Here is a 23,433-nt window from a genome sequence, read left to right on the forward strand (position 1 = left end):
TCCCCTTCCCTTGACAGAGTCTTGCTTCGTCGCCCAGGCTGGAAGCGCAATGGCATGATATAAGTGATTTAAGATAGAAAAGTATTTCTCTCTCATGAAATCTGTCCATTATTGTTAAGGTACTCCATGGTATCAAGGACCCAATATCTTTTTTTTTTTTTTCAGACAGTCTCACTCTATTACCCAGGTTGGAGTGCAGTCGCACGATCTCAGCTCACTGCAAACTGTGCCTCTCGAGCTCAAGGGATCCTTCTACCTCAGCTTCCTGTGTAGCTGGGACTCTGGGTGTGTGCCACCATGCCCAGCAAATTTTTTGTATTTTCCACAGAGACAGGGTTTCACCACGTTGGAGTATTTTGGACTCAAGCAGTCTGCCCCCTTGGCCTCCCAAGGTGCTGTGATTACAGGTGTGAGCCACCATACCTAGCTCCAAGATCATTTTACCTTGTTGCTTTACAATGGGTAGTTTCTATTCCTAAGGTAATATCATGGTCCAGAAGAGCTTCAGGAAATCCAAGACCATTACATAACATTCCATTCAACTGAAAAGAAAAAGGAGTGAAGCTTTTGAAGGCCCTGACAAGATTTTGTGGTAGGGAGACTGCTTTTTTTTTTTTCTCCTAACATCTGTTAACAAAATTTCTGTTATCATCTTTTTCTGGTAATATCTGGTAGTTATGTATGTTGCTGACACCTCAATGTCTGAAATCGAGTAAGAAAGTAAGATCTATGCGGCCGGGCGCGGTGGCTCATGCCTGTAATCCCAGCACTTTGGGAGGCTGAGGTGGGCGGATCACCTGAGGTCAGGAGTTCGAGACCAGCCTCAACATGGGGAAACCCCATCTCTACTAAAAACACACACACAAAAAAAAATCAGCTGGGCGTGGTGGTGCATGCCTGTAATCCCAGCTACTCGGGAGGCTGAGGCAGGAGAATTGCTTGAACCTGGGAGGCGGAGGTTGCGGTGAGCCGAGATTGGGCCGTTGCACTCCAGCCTGGGCAACAAGAGCGAAACTCAGTTTAAAAAAAAAAAAAAAAGAAAGTAAGATCTATGCTGCTATGGTTTTAATGTGTCCCCTGCAAAATTCAGGTGTTGTCAATGTGATAGTATTAAGAGGTGGGGCCTTTAACAGGTGATTATATCATAAGGACTTCTCCCCTCATGAACAGGATTAGTGCCCTTATGAAAGAGGCTTCCCATGGCTGTTGGCCCTTTTGCCCTTCTGCCTTCTGCCAAGTGAGGACAGTGTTCCTCCCCTCTGGAGGATGCAGCTTTCAAGCCACCATTGTGGAAACCAAAATTGGACCCTCATCAGACACAGAATTTGCTGGAACCTTGATCTTGGACTTCCCAGCCTTCAGAACTGAGAGAAGTAAATTTTTATTTTTTATAAATAAACCAGTCCCAGATATCTGTTATAGCAGCGCAAAAGGACTAAGACAATGCTTTCTTAGACAATGGGTTGCTCAAATGTCGAACTCTGCTGTTTTATGCTATTTCTATAGTTTACTTTTCAAGATTTTACTAATATAAGCTTTACAATTTTATAATGTACTGATACACATTTTTATGGTGTTCTTATTATATTCCATGGAAAATGGCAAAATAAATTTTAAGATTCCAGAAAAAAAAAAAAGAAAGAAAGAAAGAAAAAGGAGTGAAGAAGAGCATGCCCCTCCCTTTTGGGAATTTCTGGAAATTGCATTTCTGCTTACCTTCATTGGCCTCACTTAGCTGCAGGAGCCCCTAGGAAATATAGTTTTTATTCTGAGTGACCATATGCCATATGGAGGAATCCTATTACTCAGGAAGTAGAGGAAACCAGGGATCTCTACGACAAATGCATTTCTCTGCCCTCATCTTAACTCTCTGTCAATAGCATTTGACCACTACTCCTGGAAACTTTTTTTTCTTTTTTAGAGATGGCCTCACTCTGTTGCCCAGGTTGGAGTGCAGTGCCGTGATCATGGCTCACTGCAGCCTTGAGCTCCTGGGCTCAAGTGATCCTCCCACCTCAGCCTTCTGAATAGCTGGGGACGCAGGCATGCGCCACCACGCCTGGCTAATTTTAAAATTTTTTGTAGAGACAGGGGTCTCACTATGTTACCCAGGCCAGTCTCAAACTCCTGGGCTCAAGAAATCCTCCTGCCTTGGCCTCCTAAAGTGCTGGGATTACAGGCCTGAGCCACTGTGCCCAGCTTCTTCTTCTTCTTTTTTTTTTTCCCAGAGACAAGATCTTGCTTGGTTGTCTGAGCTGGAGTGCAGTGGTGTGATCATAGCTCACTGCAGCCTAGAATTCCTTGCCTTAAGCAATCCTACTACCTCAGCTTCCTGAGTAGCTGGGACTACACGTGCATGCCATCGCACCCCGCTAATTTATTTCATTTTATTTTTTAGAGATGGAGGTCTCACTATGTTGCCCAGGCTGGTCTCGAACTCCTGTACTCAGGTGATCCTCCTGCCTTGTTTTCCCAAAGTGCTGGGATATGGGCATGAACCACTGTGCCCAGCCACCCTGACTACAGCACTTTTCAGTTTACAAAGCACTTTCTTTTTTGTTGTTGTTTTTGTTTGTTTTTTGTTTTTGAGATGGAGTCTCGCTCTGTCGCCCAGGCTGGAGTGCAGTGGCACGATCTCGGCTCACTGCAAGCTCCGCCTCCCGGGTTCACGCCATTCTCCTGCGTCAGCCTCCCGAGTAGCTGGGACTACAGGCGCCCGCCACCACGCCCGGCTAATTTTTTGTATTTTTAGTAGAGACGGGGTTTCACCGTGTTAGCCAGGATGGTCTCGATCTCCTGACCTCGTGATCTGCCCGCCCACCTCAGCCTCCCAAAGTGCTGGGATAACAGGTGTGAGCCACTTCGCCTGGCCCCCTACAAAGCGCTTTCAAATACAACGTCTTTCTTGCCGTTTACAGCTACACTGTGATACTGTAGACATCCTCTTCACAGATGAAGAAATAGAGGCTCAGAGAAATCACTAACTCAACGCCACTTGGTTACTAGGTTGCAGATCTTGCACTGTACTTCAACTTGGAAGTCCTGGCGCCTCCACAGTGCTCGTGAAAAGAGGTGGACAGCAGGTGACGCATGTGCAGGGTTTGCCTAAGGCCAGGTAGGAGAGTTGGAAGCTGGCCCTGAAGGCCCCAGAGAGCACCAGCATTAAGGGAGAAAGCAATCCCTTTTTGGTGCAACAATTACCCTCCTTCCCTGCCTCTCTGCCTCCCTGCCTCCCTGCCTCCCTGCCTTCCTACCTTCCTTCCTGCCTTCCTGCCTGCCTTCCTGTCTTCCTGCCTTTCCTCTCTCTCTCTCTCTTTTTTTTTCTTTTTTTTAAGACAAGATCTCATTCTGTTGCCCAGGCTGGAGTGAAGTCGCCCGATCTTGGCTCACTGCAGCCTCTGCCTCCTAGGCTCAAGCAATCCTCCCACCTCAACCTCCAGAGTAGCTGGGACCACAGGCACACGCCACCACGGCCAGCTTATTTTTCGGTATTATTTTTTTTTTGTAGAGACAGAGTTTTGCCATGTTGCCCAGGCTAGTAAAATATTTCTATAGGGGTGATGTGGGGTGCAGGAGATTGTGGAGAATAGAGGGAAGTAAACATTAGACAAGCACCACGAGAGGGAAATGTGCTTGCCAGCTGGCGCGCTAGCAATCCCATCTTAGAAGTAATCAGGGAGTAATCAGATGTTCAGACCAAGAGTCTGCTGAGTGTCTTGTGACTATATCAATGTTTTCTCAGAATCAAAGGGATCTGCTTCTCTTCACAGCCTCGCTCCCTCAGAGGCCAAGCTGAGAAGTTTTGAAGTTTGGCATGATTCTCTTATTCTGCTTTTCCTTGTCAGTAACTACTTTGCTGACTTCTTTCCAATTTCTTTCTCTAAATCCCCACCAATCCTGCACAGACCCTTTGGGGCTGGTGTCTGCCAACATTATGTTGAAGTTGCCGGGGACACACAGATTTCTGATTTTAAGCTGTTTAGGGGTTTGCACCGTCTTAACAGCAAGCAAAGGTGAGTGACTTGTACGTAACTCGCTCAAGTTGACACAGTCGGAGAGTGGAAGCTGGGACTCAAAGCCAGCCTGTGACTTCTTAGACCACACGCTGTCTCCCAGCATTAGTTCTGGAAAAGGAAGAGCCCCCAGGAAACACCATTCCGTCCATCACATCCCTGTGCCCCTTTCATCTTGACGGACCCACCCTAGCACTGGCCCTGGAGACACATGAAAGCACGCCTCAGATGCCTGCTCCTGGGAAGGCCTCGAGCCCCTCCCGGCTTATAATTGGCCCACTTGCTCTTTCTCTTCATCTGGCTGGGGCTTGGATTCCTGGCTGGAGTCCCTGGCTTTGATATTTGCTTTTGCTCTCCTGGTTTGGCAACTCATCACATTCCCCGGGTGGCCTCCATTTTCTGTTAGCCCTCTGCCCTGCTCCCTCCTCTGGGTTTGTGTCCTCCCAGGGCCTCCAGTAGGAATTCTAGGAATGCCTAGAGTCCAGACAGGCCTCATTCATCCCATAAACATGTACTAAGCACCTAGGGTGTGTTGGGCACTGTTCTGTCTGCTGGGGATGCAGCAGTGAATAAAATCAAAGTCCCTGCCCTTAAGGAGCTTATATTCTACTGGGGGGAGTCACATAACAAATGAAGAGTTGTGTCAGGCCTCCTATTCTATTTCTCCCCCTCCCAGCCATACCCAAACTACTCTTGGATCTGATCTGCGTGACAGAGGCAAGGCCACACACACACTAGATCAACAGAGGGAGTGTGAGATGCAGAAGTGAGAGGCGGCAGGTGCCCCAAAGCCTCCTGACACAAGGTCACCGCTGCTGTGTGAAAGAAAATGCTAGAGAAGGCTGGGTGCAATGGCTGACGTCTGTAATCCCAGCATTTTGGAAGGCTGAGGCAGGAGGATTGCTTAAGTCCAGGGGTTTGAGACCAGCCTGGGCAACATAACAAGACCCCTAATCTATAACAAAACAACACTACAGAGAGAGAGGGCGGACCTGGCTGAGGGAGCAGCCCCAGCCTGTGGTCACTGGGACCACGGAAGGAGCCACATGCACAGGTGCTCACTTGTGAACAGCACCTACTTTCTGGGCTTCAGAGCGTGGTCCCCGGAAGAGTGCCAGTGCGTCATCTGGGAGCCCACTGCACGTGCAAACCTCACCCCACCCACTCCAGCCCTTCCCAGTCAAAATCCTCAGGGGGTTCCTGAAGTTTGAGAAACAACAGAGCTAGACTTTTTGACCAGGTACAGATTGATCACCCCAAAGCCATGGTCAATCCATGATAACTCCTCTCCCCCATGGAGATGGAGTAGGGATATGAGTGGGATACAGAGACTTCCTTCCATGGAAAGGTATGCATTTGAGCAGCATATTCATCACCGTTTGTAAAAATTAGTGACTTTTCTCTTTACAAACAAAACACCAATAAAAATGAATGAAAGAAAATTAAATTTGAAAGAGGTGCTTCCTTTTAATTTGACTTGTAATATTTTTAACTGTCAAAATTTCAACAAATAAATCTCTTTCTATACTTTTGTGTTAGTTTATAAGCTACTAAGTCATGGTCAGTTGAGTTTTTAATGCCTGAGGGAAGCTTTTATGCGTGGAGAGGAACAAATTTATTTGTGTATTTTACTTATGTTTCCAGTTTATTGAAGGTGTACATTTTATTGTTATTTTCATTTTTATTTGTTTTACTTTGTTTTGGGGGGACAGAGTCTCGCTCTGTCACCCAAACTGGAGCACAGTGGTATAATCATGGCTCATTGCAGCCTTCAACTCCTGGTCCCATGTGATGCTCCTGCCTCAGCCTCCCAAAATGGTGGGACCACAAGCATGAGCCACTGCACCCAAAGTTGTACATTTTCAAGACTAGTTTTGTTAAGTTCAACTCATACAATTTATTACTTTGCTCATAAATCTAGTATTTTTATGTTACTTTGCTCATAAATCTAGTATTTCTATCACTTGTTCTTTGATTAATGCCTGATTAGCTTATAAATTCTCTAAACATTAAATATTACTTATAAGCTTGATTAATTAAATTAGCTTAGGCTGTTTAAACTATATTAATATTAATATTCAAACATCTAACAAGGCAGATATACAAATCTAACAAAATCTTAGACACTAAGCATGTAGCACTAATAATTTAAACACTATTCACAAAACATAGCCTCAATTTATAGACCCAATTAGATTTATTTAAGCATTTAACCACCAAACTTAATCTACCTAAATACTAAACTAATATCACAAGTTTAATGTCACATGCTTTTACACTTTTCCAACACTTTAAAAAGCAGATTTTAAAATTCTATACTTTAAAGTCATTAGTGGTTAATTTTGTTACGTGAATTTTACCTCAACTAAAAGCAGATAAAACCCAAATCATCCCAGTGTTTGCAGTAGTTATTACCTAAAGCTATTAAAGTAGTTACTCCTTAAAGGTATTACAAGAGTATTAATGTACGTTCGTGTCCATCATCTTCTTTATATTTATTTTTAAGCCTCTATCCAAAGAAAGAAAGCAGAATTAGCCTCACAGTTGGGCTGAAATCAGTTGAAGATGTAGGTCTGAGGTACGGTTACAGATCGGGGTATGAGTTCCAGATTTGGAGCTGCCGTGCTGTTCCAGTATGGAGAGATGCTTGGAGCCTGGGCACTGGGTCTGGGAGTGGGGCCTGGATGTGCCTTCTACAGTCATTTCTCCCAGGCTGGCAATTATCAGTGTGGGTGGCTTCCTTTGGTCAAGTTTTTCCTGCCGAATTAACAAGATTCATAGAACTCTCACTGTTTTGTTTTGTTTTGTTTTTTGTTTTTAAATAACTCAGTGCATCTTTCATCCCTGAGTGTCCTTTAAATCTCATTACCTGATATAAATACATAAGTACAAGAAATTCGGGCTGGGAGCGGTGGCTCACGCCTGTAATCCCAGCACTTTGGGAGGCCAAGGCGGGCGGATCACGAGGTCAGGAGATCGAGACCATCCTGGCTAACACGGTGAAACCCCGTCTCTACTAAAAATACAAAAAATTATCCGGGCGTGGTGGCGGGCGCCTGTAGTCCCAGCTACTCGGGAGGCTGAGGCAGGAGAATGGCGTGAACCTGGGAGGCGGAGCTTGCAGTGAGCCGAGATCGCGCCACTGCACTCCAACTTGGGCGACAGAGCCAGACTCTGTCTCAAAAGAAAAAAAAAAAAGTACAAGAAATTCATAGCTTAATTATGAATCAAAACTTGGCTATGGTATGCACAGTGTTTTAAAAGTGGACACTTCAGAACAATTGGCTTTGGCAAAACAAAAACAACCAAAAACCAGTTGACATTTTCAGGAGCTCACATATACTTTTAGTATAACCCATATCCAGTACCATTATGGACTCAAGCTTTTCACTACATTTTTGTTTTCTTTTTGATAATCAGATGATCACAGTTTTGCCTTTTTTTCCTTTCTTTTCTTTTCTTTTTAGAGACAATGTCACTGCAGCCTTGAACACCTGGGCTCAAGGGATCCTTCCACTTCGGCTTCCCAAGTAGCTGGGACTACAGGTACGCGCCACCACACCCAGCTAATTTTTTTATTTTTTGTAGATGTGGGGTCTCGTTATGTTGTCCAGGCTGGTCTTGAATTCCTGGCCTCCAGTGACTCTCCTGCCTCAGCCTCCCAAAGAGTGGGGATCACAGGCATGAGCCACCGTGCCTGGCTGGCTTTGACTTTTTTTCTTTCTTTTTTTTTTTTTTTTTTTGAGACGGAGTCTTGCACTGTCGCCCAGGCTGGAGTGCAGTGGCGCCATCTCGGCTCACTGCAAGCTCTGCCTCCTGGGTTCACGCCATTCTCCTGCCTCAGCCTCCCGAGTAGCTGGGACTACAGGCGCCCGCCACCACACCCGGCTAATTTTTTTGTACTTTTAGTAGAGATGGGGTTTCACCGTGTTAGCCAGGATGGTTTCGATCTCCTGACCTCGTGATCCGCCCGCCTTGGCCTCCCAAAAGTGCTGGGATTACAGGTGTGAGCCACCGCACCCGGCCCAGCTTTGACTTTTTATGCTGCGTCCTTTTTCCTTTTAACACTACCTTAAACATTTTTGTTTTTTAACTTACATACTTCTAGCAAAGTCTGCTCAGGCCAACTCTGATTTTTCTTGCACCAAGGTATGGAATCAGCTATTCCCCAAGGAGCCCTGTTTCTTTGAGTGGCAAATGTTATCAGTTGAATGTTATGTCTGGGCGCTCATGGTGCGAATCACATTATCCGTGTGAGAACTAAAGGCAGGCGTCTGCTTCTAGTGCACTCCAGTGGGAGCTGGGAAATGAGTTCGTGCTGATGTGTCCAATTCAACTCCAACTCTAAGTCCTTTAAAAAAATACACCCTGTTATAAAAGGTTTTCATTTTTTTCTCCCCTTTTAAACTTCCAGCTTATTCTTCTTTTATAAAAACAACTATATATATATATTTTTTTCTACCTCCTTCCCCCCATATGTGTATTCCAATTAAAACATTAATGAACTTTTTAATGTCATAAATGGATGTATACCTACTTAGATCCCAGACACCCTGGCAAGGGCTTCAAATGTGCCATCTTCACTTTTATACTCCTTGTGTGTCTTATCAACCATCATCCTCTGGTCATTTATTGACAGTCACACAATTTCATTTCACCCAACTCTATTGAATTCATGAGACTTTGATTTCAATTTCAAACCATCGGCATGGGTTCCTGCTGTCCAGGAGCAATCACGCCTTCTGACTCTTCCCTGCGTTTGGTACTGGAGATCGGGGATGTCATTTTCTCATTGTTTCTCCCTGTTATCTTCAGGGCTCCTCTCAGACGGTCTCTGCGACCTGCTCTTCAGAGAGCTTCCGGAGGAAATATAATTAACATGCATCTAACAAAGTTAACCTTTTTAACAATTTTTATTCTTTTTTTTTTTTTTGAGACAGTCTTGCTCTGTCACCCAGGCTGGAGTGCAATGGCGCGATCTCGGCTCACCACAACCTTCGCCTCCCAGGTTCAAGCAATTCTCCTGCCTCAGCCTCCCGAATAGCTGGGATTACAGGCTCCTGCCACCATGGCTGGCTAATTTTTTTGTATTTTTAGTAGAGATGGGGTTTCACCATGTTGGCCAGGCTGGTCTCGAAATCCTGACCTCAGGTGATCCACCTGTCTCGGCCTCCCAAAGTGCTGGGATTACAGACGTGAGCCACCACGCTCAGCCACACATGGGTTTTTATAAATAAGCAGATTTCTTTTTCATAGTGCATGCAATGGAGAAAAGCAGATAACTCTATCTCCATCAGCTTGTCCCCAAAGTCCAAGCCCCTCTCCTTGTCACCCAGCACACCCTCATCTCAAGTGCTCAGCCTTTCTTGTCCTGACTCAGCTCCTACCTTCCCCACATCCCACTTCCTCCACCATGCTGCCCTGACGTAACCAGCAAACGTCCTATATCCTCGCACCTTCTGAAGAGGACACACCCTAAGAGGCCACCATGATCCCTGGCTCCTGGTGCTCACACCTCTGTGTAATGCCCTCTCCTTGAGTACATGTGCACCTGTCACTTGCTTCTAATGAACAGAATATGCAGCGGGGTTGGATGTCACACTGTGATGGAGTGATATTATGAGACTGTCTTGCTAACAGACTTGTTCTGGAGACTTTTTGCTGGCTCAGTGAAATGAGCAGCACATTGGAAAGGCTCACGTGGCTAAGAACTGAGGGCAGCTTCCAGCAGACAGCCAGTGAGGAATCAGGAAACGAATTCTCCTGCATCCCGAGTGAGCTGGAAGCAGATTCTTCTAGTGGAGCTTCCAGATGGCACTGTGGCCAACACCCTGATTATAGTCTCCTGCGATCCTGAGCAGACAGCCCAGCTAAGCCATGCTGAGACTGACTCACAGACCCTGTGAGATACTAAGTGTGTGTTGTTTTAAGCCTCTGAATCTGTAGTAATTTGTTCTGCAGCCATAGATAAATAAAATCATACCCCAGCACACACTGTGTCTTCTGTAGCCCTCCTACAGTGGTGGTTGTCATTTTCTCCGTGCCACAGCTTAAAAGCTGGGCAGTAAGGTCATTGTCTTCTTTGCTTTCCATTTCCCTTAGGCTTTTTCTGAGCCTCAACCATACAGCTATGCCACCCTCTTCCCTTCCTGAAAGCCTCTGTCATCCACCGACCTCCAGGTCCCTCCTTCTTCAAAGATCTCTGCATCAGTCTCACCACTTCCTCCTCACCTGTGTGCTGCTGTCATCCTAGGTCAATTCACCCCTGGTTTGGGTGAAATTGTCAACAGTCCAACTGGGCTCTCAGCTTCTTGACTCCCTCTTCCCTAAAGATCACCTCTACTGTCACTAAGCCACCCACTTCCACAGTCACAGTTTGGGCTTTGGCACTATTGGAAGTTGAGACTTTCCACTTCCAAATCACTGATTATTCACTCTCCTCTTCTCTGACTGCTGCTCCTTTCCCCATGGCTGGCCTGTGCGGGTACCCCCACTGCACCTGTTCACCATCATCAGCACCTCTGATCTGTGGCTGTCTCTACTTATCCCCATACCATCAGCTGTCTCTCTCCCTTCCTTCCTCCTTTATCATGCTTAGAGTCCATGTCTCTAACAATGTTGGTCAAGCCCTAATCTGGATCCTTTGTCATTTTTTTATCCTATCTGGCAAAATCCCAACTGTGTATGGACCCAACTACCTATTACTGTGCCTGCTCTCAGGCAGCCTCTGGGAAAGTCACACAACAGGGCATACTGGTTCTACATAAATTCATGATTACTACATCCAGAGGTACCCTCACTACACCTGGGGAACCCCGATAAGTGTCTGATTAACTTACTTTCCCACAGCGATTATTTCAAACCCCTGTCGATCTCCCCAAGCCCCTGGCCCTTCCTTCAAACCTCCACTTGCAGATGACCTTGTCTCTTTCTTTTTTTACTTAGAGACAAGGTCTTGCTCTGTGGCCTAGCCTGGAGTGCAGTGGTGTGATCTCAGCTCACTGCAACCTTTGCCTCCCAGACTCAAGTGTTCCTTACATCTTGGCCTCCCAGATAGCTAGGACCACAGGCAAGCACCACCACACACAGCAAATTTTAAAATTTTGTGTAGAGACAAGGTCTCACTATATTGACCAGGCTGGTCTCAAACTCCTGGGCTCAAGCAATCCTCCCTCTTCAGCCTCCCAAAGTGCTGGGATTATAGGTGTGAAACAATGCACCCGGCTTTGTCTCTTCCTTTCTCTTTCTTTCTTTCACTTTTACAGGGAAATAGAAGCCACCAAATAAAAATTCCCATCTCGAACCTATAAATCCACCTGTATTTGCTCTCATCCTATACTTCTTTTCCCTCTGAAATAGCCTTTGCCATATTATGACTGCAGAGAAATCTGGCATGGCTGACTCCATCTTGCTGCTGGCCTCACAGGCTGGCTGTCTTTGCTCATTCCTGGGCATGGGCCAAGCTAACTTTGTGAGAAATTTAGTTCATAATTTAAATGATAATAGCCCCCAAACTAAATTGCCCTTGTAACGCTAATGAAAGGCCATTGCATTAGGAGGATGAGAGGGGTCTGAATTCTACTAAGGTGTGGGCATAGTGAAACGCTTCCTAGTCATTATTGCAGATGTCACAAGATGTGGAATTTCCCCAATTACTCCTGTAAATAACATCACTATTGTAGAATCTGATTGGCCTTTTGAGATGTCTTTTCTGGTTTTTGCATTTCTGATGATCAGTGGCTCCGCCTGGACTTGCCAACCAGTCCTGTCCCCACCGCTCCCCACAAGGAACCAACTCAGCACAAGAGAACAGCTTTGACTTCTTATGATTTCATCTCTGACCCAACCAATCAGCACTCCCCAATCCCTGTCCCCCTACCCAGCAAACATTCCTTGAGAAACCCTTGTCTCTCAATTTTCAGGGAGGCTGATTTGAGTAATAAAACTCTGTCCCCCTACCCACCAAACTATCCTTGAGAAACCCTTGTCTCTGAATTTTCAGGGAGGCTGACTGAGTAATAAAACTCTGGTCTCCTGTTAAGACAGCTCTGTATGAATTAAATTCTTTCAAAGCCAGGCATGGTAATTCCAGCACTTTGGGAGGCTGAGGCAGGTGGATCACCTGAGGTCAGGAGTTCAAGACCAGCCTGGCCAACATGGTGAAACCCTGTCTCTACTAAAAGTACAAAAATTAGCCGGGTGTGGTGGCACATGCCTGTAATTCCAGCTACTTGGGAGGCTGAGGCAGGAGAATCGCTTTAACCCGGGAGGCAGAGGCTGCAGTGAGCCAAGACTGCACCACTGCACTCCAGCCTAGGTGACAGAGCGAGACTCCATCTAAAAAAAAAAAAAAAAAAATTCTCTATTGCAATTCCCCTGTCTTGATAAATTTGTTCTATCTGGGCAGTGGGCAAAATAAACCTGTTGAGTGGTTATACCTCCTGTTGCGATGCAAGTGCTGTCATATTTTCTGCCTTAGCCAAATCCCTACCCTTACACTGTGAATTCTATGAACCCATTTGTGGACCTCCCCAAAAGCTTCTAAGTGTATATTTTTTATCTCCTTTCTTTTTTCTTCTCCTTCTGAAATTCCAATTATCCATACATTAGACATTTTCATATTGTTCCACAGGTCTCTGAGGCTCTGTTGTCTCTTTTTCTTTCCAGTGTTCCATTGATCTCTATTCAAGTTCATTTGCTCTTTCCACTGAGATGGTGGAATGATCATTAAGCACATCCAGTTAATTCTTTGTTTTTGTTTTGAGATGGGGTCTTGCTATGTTGCCCAGGCTGGTCTCAAACTTGTAGGCTCATGTGATCCCCCCACCTCAGCTTCCTGAGTAACTGGGATTACACTGCACTGAACACAGCCAGTGAATTTTTTATTCTATATATTTTTGTTCTAAAATTTCCATTTTGTTCTTTTTAATATTTTGTATTTTTTGGCTGTGGCTTCCTATCTGTTCATTCATTATGTGTGTGTTTTTCTTTATATTCTTCAGCATAATGATAGTAGTTGCCTTAATATCCTTGTCTGATAATTCCAACATCCAAGTTACCTTGAGATTGGCTTCTGTTGTCTGTTTTTCCCTTGAGAATGGGTCATGTTTTCCTGGTTCTTTGTATGCTTAGTAATTTTGGATCATATCCTGAGTATTTTGAAGGTTATGCTGAGGAGACTCTAGATTCTGTTTAATTCCTCAGAAAAAGGCTAATCTTTTTCCTTTAGCAGGCAATTCACTAATCTTTTTTCTTTAGCAGGCAATTTATTGCAAACCAAGTTTGCAATAAAACCAGTTGCAAACTTGGTTTTATCCTCAGTGGGCAGGAGCTTGGGTCTCAGTTTAGTTTGTTTGTTTGTTTGTTTTTGAGATGGAGTTTTGCTCTTGTTGCCCAGGCTGGAGTGCAATGGTGCGATCTTGGCTCACTGCAACCTCTGCCTCCTGGGTTCAAGCGATTCTTATGCCTCAGCCTCCTAAGTAGCTGGGATTAGAGGCATGTGCCACCATGCCTGGCTAATTTTGTATTTTTAATAGAGACGGGGTTTCTCCATGTTGGTCAGGCTGGTCTTGAACTTCCAACCTCAGGTGATCCTCCCGCCTTGGCCTCCCAAAGTGCTGGCATTACAGGTGTGAGCCACTGCACCCGGCCTCGGTTTAGTTTTTTTATCTTTAGCTAGGCTGCCTGCAGGTTTCCCTGTGCATGTGAGGTTCAGCAGGAATCAGAGACTTAGGCAGAGTTTATATACAGAATTCTGGATTTCTCTTCTCTGGCTTTCCCCTTTCCAAGACTCACCCCTCACTCTTCAATAACTTTGATTACTCTGGGCTCCACTCTCGGGTTCCTCTCACTGGAAAGCCAGCGGGCTTCTATTGGAATTTTAGCTGTAAACCAAAAATAAAATTCTAAGCCCCCACAACCAACTGAAGGCCCCCTGCCACCTCAGCTGAGGGCATTCCAAAGTAAACTTGAAAAACTAGTTTGGGCAGTGATAAGAATAGGTGTTAGGACATGTCTCATTATACCCTCCTGCCTTTGGGACTCAGGCACAACTGACCAGCATCAACATCAAAACAGAGATCTTAAGACTGACAAAAAGACTCTGTGCAATAAGACACCAAATTCCAATCTGACTCTAGTATAGCATCACATGACATAGCAGTCTCTGAAATAAATTATAGTATTTTCCCCCAAAACGTATTTCTTTGACATATTTAAAAATGGTCCTGCAAAGCTGTCTCTTGTGGAGGAAATCTACCTTCTATAGAGAATTCCCCTTTTTTTCCAGGTCTTTTCCTGACCCAGGAGAGAATTAACTCCAAGTCTGGTGCCTTTTTAGATCTGATAAGAGACATTTCCCATCTATTCTCTCTGATGCAATAAGAAACTTGCCAGCCTGAACAATATGGTGAAACCCCATCTCTACAAAAAACCCCAAAATTAGCAGGGTGTGGTGGCACACGACTGTAGTCCTAGCTACTTGGGAGGCTGAGGTGAGAGGATTGCTTGAGCCCAGGAGGCAGAAGTTGTAGTGAGAGAAGATCATATGACCGCATTCCAGAGTGGGTGACAGAACAAGATTCTGTCTCAGAAAAAAAAAAAAAAAAAAAAAAAAAGCCAGGCACAGTGGCTCATGTCTGTAATCCCAGCACTTTGGGAGGCCAAGGCGAGTGGATTGCTTGAGCCTAGGAGTTTGAGACCAGCCTAGGCAACATGGCAATACTCTGTCTCTACAAAAAAAACCCAAAAAATTAGTTGGGTGTGGTGGTGCGTATCTGTAGCCCCAGCTGCCCGGGAGGCTGAGGTGGGAGGATCACCTGAGCCTGGGAGGTTGAGGCTGTAGTGAGCCATGATTGCACCACTGCACTCCAGCCTGAGTGACAGAGTGAGACCCTGTCTGAAAAAAAAAAAAAAAAAGAACCTTCATCCTCACAACCCCTTAAGCCAGACACTCCCTTCTATTGATTCCAGTTCTTTAGATAATAACTCAATCAATTGCCAATCAGAAAATCTTTGAATCCTTTGAATCCACCTATGACCTGTAAGCTCCCCTCCCCGTCTTCAAGTTGTCCCACCTTTCCAGACCAAACCAATGTGTACTTCACATGTATTGACTGATGTCTTATTTTTTTTTTTTTTTTTTGAGACAGAGTCTCGCTCTGTTGCCCAGGCTGGAGTACAGTGGCGTGATCTTGGCTCACGGCGATCTCTGCCTCCTGGGTTCAAGTGATTCTCCTGCTTCAGCCTCCTGAATAGCTGGGACTACAGGTGTGTGCCACCATGCCCAGCTAATTTTTTTGTATTTTTAGTAGAGATGGGGTTTCACCGTGTTAGCCAGGATGGTCTTGATCTCCTGACCTCATGATCCACCCGCCTCGGCCTCCCAAAGTGCTGGGATTACAGGCATGAGCCACTGTGCTCAGCCGGACTGATGTCTTATTGTTATGGGTAGTTAGGCATGAGTGAGGAAGGAGGGGGCTCCCCCACCCACTAGGAATGTCAGATGATGACTTGGCAATGATCACATTGCCTCTCTAAGAGTGATAAATGGCAGCTGGCACCAGGGAGAGGCCATTTCCTGATGGTCCACACCTGTTGCACTAAAGTGTTAACTGAATGCAGGCGCCAGGGAGAAGCAGCTTCCTGGGCAGGTGCATCAACAGACAAAATGGCAGAGTATGACTTTCCGGGGGCAGTCCACTGGAAAATCAAAGAAAGCCTCGGAGGGGTGAGCGTACAACTTCCTAAACACACTGTGTGTGCTCACTTCCCAAGGGTAAGGGGGACAGCACACATAAGGGCAGCCCACCCTAAGGGAAGAATCATGGGACAGGGGCCAGCCTATAAAGTCCTAGGATCAAGGTTAAACACTGCACTTGACCTCGGTGCCTGCTTGGGTCTCTTCCAAGTGCACTCTCCTTTCCTTTCTTTCCTGTTCTAAAGCCTTTTAAATAAACTTCCACTCCTGCTCTGAAACTTGCCTCAGTCTCTTTTTCTGCCTTATGCCCCTCAGTCGAATTGTTTCTTCTGAGGAAGCAAGAACTGAGATTGCTGCAGACCTGTATGGATTCACTGCTGGTAACTGGGATACCTTCCACCGGTAACATTATGCCTCCCTGAAAGGTGTGAAACCAAACTGTAACCCAGCCACCTTGGACATGTGTTCTTAGGACCTCTTGAGACTGTACCTTGGGCCTTGGTCACTCATATTTGGCTCAGAATAAACCTCTTCAAATATTTTACAGAGTTTGACTCTTTTCATTGGCATAGCCATCCTATGCTGTGCTGTGACCGTGGCCAACACAAGGAAAATCCACAAAGTCGTGGACCCATTTCATGCCAGGTGCTTCCTGAACATATTGATTCCCCTCCAAAACCTACCTGCTTGGGTTTACTCTCCAGAGCCCTTAGGTAGGTAGGTTTTCTGTTTGTTTATATATTTTGTCCAGAATGTATAGATTTTATCTGTGGGGGATTGGTCAGCTAGGCACTGATTTCTCCATATCAGAAATAGGACTCTGCCCATGAGTTTTAAGTGGCCTCAATTCTCCCATAAAACTCCCCAACCCTCCCTTGATTTCCAATCTCCTTCAGCAATCTGCCCTATGTGTCTTCCCATCCACAGCCAATTTTCTTGAAAGAATCATTTTACCATCTTTATTCCTCAGTCCCTACTCCCTTCTCAGCCCCTCCAACACAGGTCTCTGCCTCATCATAACAAACAAATGGCTTTTGCCAAGTTCCCCAGTGACCTTCAACTTACTAAATCTGATGGACACTTATTAGCTCTAATCTTCCTTGAATTCAGCACGTTTCCCTTTACATCTAGTCCTCTTCCACTGTTTCTATCTCAGTTATTTACTCCACCAACCATCCTCTTACACTGGCCAGAATATAATGAGTCCTTTTTTTTTTTAAACACGGTTTTGCTCTGTTGCAAAGGCTGGAGTGCAGTGGCATGATCACAGCTCACTACAGCCTTGAACTCCTAGGCTCCAGTGATCCTCCCATCTCCATCTCCCAAGTAGCTGGGACCACAGGTACACACCACCATGAATGGCTAATTTTTGTATTTTTTATAGAGATGGGGGTTTTGTTATGTTGCCTAAGCTGGTCTCAAACTTCTGGCCTCAAACTTCTGGCCTCAAGCCATCCTCCCATTTCGGGTTCCCAAAGTGCTAGGATTACAGATATGAACCACTGCACCTGGCCAATGTGTCTTTGTTTACACCTTCCTTTCTCTTATTCCTTATGTTCATTGCTGATGTAAATTTCACGTTTTTTTTTTTTTTTTTTTTTTTTTTGAGACAGAGTCTCGCTCTGTCGCCCAAGCTGGAGTGCAGTGGCACAATCTCGGCTCACTGCAAGCTCCGCCTCCCAGGTTCACGCCATTCTCCTGCCTCAGCCTCCCGAGTAGCTGGGACTACAGGCACCTGCCACCACGCCTGGCTAATTTTTTGTATTTTTAGTAGAGATGGGGTTTCACCATTTTAGCCAGGATGGTCTCTATCTCCTGACCTCGTGATACGCCCACCTCGGCCTCCCAAAGTGCTGGGATTACAGGCGTGAGCCACCGCGCCTGGCCCTCAAAGTGCAAATCTAATCACGTCACTCTCTTATTTAAAACACTTCACTGATGACTTACTTATATACATGCCAACATTTTTTACCTGGCCTGCCATAGGCTGAGGCTTATCTAATTCTTTGTCTTTAGCTCACACTGTGATCCCCACAACTTCTGCTGTAGACATATTAACATTTTCTGTGCGCTGGGAAGTTTGTGTTTGGGTTCAATGCTTTTAATAGGTCAGACCTTTTATAGGTGGTTTTGGTCTGTAGGGCAGAATTTAAAGTGATTTTTAAACCATGGAATTGCCCTTGATAAACACATAGGAATATTGTAAGTTCAGTAAGAAAGCTGATACAAATGTAGCTGATATGGCTATTACTATTACATTTATTGATTCCAACCAACCATGCAAATTCCTCAGTTGTTACCCACCTGTTCAGATAGATGGTGTACATGTCCACGTGTGAGCACGTGTGTGCATGCACACGCACACACAGAAGCACTTGCAGATAGTTCCCATGTGTTTCTGAATACTGTACATCAGGTTGTCGAATGCCAACAGCTTTAGCTATACCTGAAGACCTTTTGCAGGGGCATTCTGCTTTTCTTGGCCTCTGTATTTACTGTCTGATTTTACAATGTTGTCTGTGCATTTCTGTCTTTACAGAGTACATGCTGACCATCAGCAATCCCAGACATAGAATCTGCTCTTCTTCAGACCACGACCTTGTAAAACCTAGGTGGCTCCAGACACCCTCCTACTCCAGAAGTGCATGCTTTCTGTAGGCAGTGACCCATCTCAGGTCACACACACACACACACACGCACACACCCACCCACAGAATTACCGGCACTCATTACGCTCAATGCTTCTGATCAATCTTTCTGTTTTTTACTCTTGGGAACTTGGATCCAGCCCACTCTCACCCCCACAAGACATCTGAGGATAGCCAGGAGTCTGAAGGCCCCAATTTGAAAAACACACAGTCTGGTATGGTCCCTGATGCCTGTTTTTGTAAATACAGTTTTATTGGGACACAGTCATGCTCATTTATTTATGTATTTTTTATGACCGCTCTCCTGCTTCAATGGCAGAGCTGAGTAGTTGGGACAGAGACTGTATACCCTACAAAACTGAAAATATTTACTATCCGGCTCTTTACAGACAAAGTTTGCTGGCCTCTTCTAATCTATGTTTTCCAATAGTCTTAGCAACAATCAGTAACAAAGTAGAGTTGCCAGATTTAGCAGTTAAAAACACAGAATATAAATTTGAATTTCAGATAAACAACAAATACGTTTTTTTTTTAAAAAGAATAAGCATGTCTCAACAATCACACGGCAGCCCTATATAACAAAGACTTACACAAGAACCCTGTGGTCCTCTCAATCCTGCCACCTGCCTCACTTTGAGCCTTGGAGGAGAAAGAAGGTGAAGAAAGGAGGGGCCCTTGGGATGATGTGCACCCGCCAGAAGAGGGCATTTGGGATGGAAGCAGAAGAACAGTCTTTGGTCACTCTTCCCTGCCTCACCTTGACGACTGTGGGAGCTCCAGCGTTTGAGGTCCTCTTGGTGCCTGGTAGGTGTCCGTGACGAGTAACCACCCTACAAATTGCACGAGCGAATGTGGTCAAGGAGGTGAAGTGGGGAAGGAACTGTTTCCTCACTCTGGCATGTGCTTCTTTAAAATAGCAGCTCCAGTGGGCATTTAACTGATGGTTTATAAGTTTTCCCCTTGTCTAGTTTCTTGCCCTGTTTTTTTAAAAAAATTATCATTTTTTCTCTTTTTCTTAAAAAAAAAAAAAGCTACAAAAAGTGGAAACAAGGGCTCACTATGTTGCCCAGGCTGGTCTCAAACTCCTGAGCTCAAGTGATCTCCCGCCTGGGCCTCCCAAAATGCTGGGATTACAGGTGTGAGCCACTGTGCCCAGGCAATGCCCTGATTTTTATTTTTTCTTTAAAAGTAATTTATTTGATTCTGATTACAAAATACAGCTGAGGAGCACGGGCAATGCCTGTAGCCCCTTGGTGGCACATCTTCCCAGTCTATGCTTCTATAAATACCCTTTGTACAACAGCAAGCTCATGCTGTCCCCAAGCGCTTGCGCATTCTAACAGCTGCAGAGTTGTATGACCAGGTGGAAAGTTAAACAGACGCTCCACTCACAAGGTAGGGCCCCTCTAATTGGTCTTCCGGCTCCCTTTTGCTAATAGTAACTGGTTGCTCTTTCTATTGGTCATAGATAAATTACACCTGCATAATTCTCCAAGTGCTTTCAAGTAATCTCAGAAGGCAGTGACTAAGACCCTTTCCTTGCTCCCAGCTTCCTATGTCCCAGACTGCCTGCGGCACCCGGACTGCTGCTGCCCCCGGGTCCCGCACATTCCAGGGTGATGATGGAGGAAGGGCAGGCCAGGCCAAGCATGAGGAATGAACAGTCTTTATTGGGCTCAGACCAGGGTCTGTGGGTCTTGAGGACCCCTGTGTATTTGTCAGTTTTCTTCTCCATGTTCTTTTCGGCCTGTTTCCGTAGCCTCATGAGCTGTTTCTTCTTCCGGTAGTGGATCTTGGCCTTCTCCTTCCTCTTCTCCTCCAGGGTGGCTGTCACTGCCTGGTACTTCCAGCCAACCTCGTGAGCCAGGCGCCCCAGATAGGCAAACTTTCTTGTAGGCCTCAGACGCACGATCTTGAGGGCAGCAGGAACCACCATCCGGTTTTTCTCGTCGTAGGGCGGTGGGATGCCGTCAGACACCTTGAGGCGGTCCAGGGCGGCCTGGCCTCGCTTGGTCCTGGGGGGCAGCATGCCTCGCACCGCCCGCAGGAAGATGCGTTGGGGGCCCGGACGTGGCAGGGGCCTCAGGAAGGGTTGGAGTTCATCCGCTTGTGGAGGAAGGCCAGGTGCTTTAACATGCAACATGTTTCTGTAGAAATTGCCAGAAATGTTGATGCCCTCGCAGCGTACGACCACCACCTTCTGGCCCAGCAGTACCTGCTTAGCCACGATGGCCGCCAGGCGGCCCAGGAGATGGCCTCGACCACCGAGCACCAGGACCTGCACCTCCGCCGTCTTCCCCGGTCGCCTGGGAAAGCATTTTTTTTTCCTTTTTTTTTTTTTTTTTTTGTGAGACGGAGTCTTGCTCTGTCACCCAGGCTGGAGTGCAGTGGTGCGATCTCTGCTCACTGCAACCTCCGCCTCCCAGGTTCAAGTAAGTCTCCTGCCTCAGCCTCCGAGTAGCTGGGATTACAGGCGTTCGCCACTACGCCTGGCTAACTTTTTTTTGTATTTTTAGCAGAGACACGGTTTCACCATGTTGGTCAGGCTAGTCTCAAACTCCTGACCTCAGGTGATCCGCCCACCTCGGCCTCCTAAAGTGCTGAGATTACAGGTATGAGCCATCGTGCCCAGGCGACTTTTTTTTTTTTTTTTGACAGAGTCTCGCTCTGTCGCCCAGGCTGGAGGGCAGTGGCATGATCTTGGCCCACTGCAACCCCCCGCTCCCGGGTTCAAGCGATTCTCCTGCCTCAGCCTCCCAAGTAGCTGGGATTACAGGCGCCCGCCACCACGGCCAGCTAATTTTTGTAATTTTAGTAGAGACAGGGTTTCACCACGTTGGCCAGGCTAATCTGGAACTCCTGACCTCAGGTGAGCCACCCGCCTCGGCCTTCCAAAGTGCTGGGATTACAGGCGTGAGCCACCACGCCAGGCCCAGGCGATTTTTATAGATGTGGAAACTACTATTCTGTACTGGTAGACATGAGAGTGGAACTCTTTTTTTTTAGACGAAGTCTCGTCCTGTTGCCCAGGCTGGAGTGCAGTGGCACGATCTTGGCTCACTGCAACCTCCGCCTCCCAGGTTCAAGTGATTCTCCTGTCTCAGCCTCCCGAGTAGCTGGGATTACAGGCCCGGCTAATTTTTGTATTTTTAGTGGAGACGGGGTTTCACCATGTTGGCCAGGCTGGTCTCAAACTCCTAACCTCAGGGGATTCACCCACCTCAGCCTCCCGAAGTGCTGGGATTATAGGCATAAGCCACTGCGCCTGGCCGAGAGTGGAACTCTTCATACATTCTACCTCTCACTCTACCCTCAGGTCATCTCCATGTCAGAGGGGTGGTGGAAGTCTCTTCAGGTGGAAGATTCCTCCGAAGTAACTTTGTGCATTACACTCTGGATGGAGCAGTAGTTAACTGTGCAGGCCCTCCAGCCAGACAACCTGGGGTTATATCCTAGCTTAGTCAATTGCTGGTGAAATGACCTTGGAGAAATTACTTAACCTGTCTCAGCCTCAGTTTCCTCATCTGTAAAAATGTCGGGATGGTGATGCTACTACCTACCTCATGGTGTTGTTGTGAGGATCAGTGGGTTAGAACATGTAAAGTACTTAGAACTGTGCCTGGCACATAAACAGTACATGTTAGCTGTTAGCTGCTTTGCAAGTCACTTGAAACCTATGGCCGAATGTGAAGTGTTGGCGGAACCCCGCTCCGGCAGCGTGCACTTTCGCCACTAGGTGTCGCAATTCAGCAGGCACAGTCCTGAAGCTTGACTTGGGGTGGTTGGCTGGGACTTTAATTTTAGCCTATTGTCATTTTTGATTTGATTTGGTGATTTCAAGGGGATAAACTGACATGCTATCCTTTGAAGTCCCTGGGGATCCAGAAATTCCAGCAGAGTTGCTGACATCCAGGCCTGGAAGGAGCTGTTTGGAGTCCTGCCTTTGTTCACAGTTAAAATGGCATATAATTTATCATCCACGCCAGGATATTTCGAGAGTGAAAGGGGACTTAGGAACTATGCCAGGACAAGAGGAGTAAGTAGGATGTGCCCCCGAAACCTGGATACAGTCACCCTACCTATATCTAACCTCAGCATTTTTCAGAATCTCCTCCAGAAGGGAAATGCAATGACATTTCCTCAGAAGCCTGGTATGATAAGCAGTGACTTCATGCGTTTGTAAGTCCCTTCCCCAAGAGGGTGGTGCGTCATTGTCAGGTTTACTTGCGTTTAGTCCTCAGTGGACACTATCAGTGTGTCTGCTTCACAGACCACTAGTCACCTTTGTGTCCTTTATGCTGAATAATCCCATCTCCTCTACAGCTTTTCTTCAGAGCTTCCTTCCAACTGTCAGCCCCTCAGAGGCACTGAGGCATTCACCTCTGAATGTGGTGAAGGAGAGTGAGCAGTGAAGCCATTTTCTGGGCTATTGCTGAGGGATTTCTTCTAAGATTTCATCTATCTCTAAGACTTCAGAATTCCATTATTTCAGATTTGCTCTAATTAATTAATTAATTTGAGACAGAGTCTCACTCTGTCACCCAGGCTGGAGAGCAGTGGTATAATCATGGTTCACTGCAGCCTTGACCTCCTGGGCTCAAGCAATCCTCTCACCTCAGCCTCCCGTACAGGCATGTGCCACCACGCCCATGCACACCTGGCTAATTTTTGTATTTTTAGTAGAGATGGGGTTTTGCCATGTTGGCCAGGCTGGTCTCGAACTCCTGGGCTTGAGTGATCCACCTGCCTTGGCCTCCCAAAGTGCTGGGATGACAGGTGTGAGCCACTGTGCTCCGCCTATCTTTTTTTAAAGGGCAGGAGGACTTTGGGAGGCCAAGGTGGGAGGATTGCTTGAGGCCAGGAGTTCAAAACTAGCTTGAGCAACATAGTGAGGCCTCTGTCTCTACAAAACAAAACGAAAACGAAAACAAAAACAAAAACAAAACAAACAAAAACCCCAATTAGCTGGGTATGGTGGCATGCACGTGTGGTCCCAGCTACTTAGGAGTCTGAGGTTGGAGGATCCTTGAGTCCAGGAGTTGGAGGCTGCAGTGAGCCATGATGGCACCACTGC

At 46.3% G+C, this 23,433-nt stretch overlaps 1 pseudogene, besides 2 other annotated features; it reads right to left on the minus strand.

Annotated features, from left to right (window-relative positions):
• Positions 1-19,749: 19,749 nt before the first annotated feature.
• On the minus strand, positions 19,750-20,674 carry RPL13AP24 (ribosomal protein L13a pseudogene 24; annotated as a pseudogene).
• Positions 21,947-22,241: an enhancer, noted in NCBI's record as "tiled region #13344; K562 Activating DNase matched - State 12:CtcfO". NCBI's record gives its function as "activates a minimal TATA promoter and a strong SV40 promoter by Sharpr-MPRA in K562 cells {active_cell/tissue: K562}" and the evidence as "EXISTENCE:reporter gene assay evidence [ECO:0000049][PMID:27701403]".
• Positions 22,023-22,172: a silencer, noted in NCBI's record as "silent region_4137". NCBI's record gives its function as "represses an Ori minimal core promoter by ATAC-STARR-seq in GM12878 lymphoblastoid cells {active_cell/tissue: GM12878}" and the evidence as "EXISTENCE:reporter gene assay evidence [ECO:0000049][PMID:35858748]".

The sequence above is a fragment of the Homo sapiens genome, chromosome 12 (genome assembly GCF_000001405.40).
Source record: "Homo sapiens chromosome 12, GRCh38.p14 Primary Assembly".
Classification (NCBI taxonomy): Eukaryota; Metazoa; Chordata; class Mammalia; order Primates; family Hominidae; genus Homo; species Homo sapiens.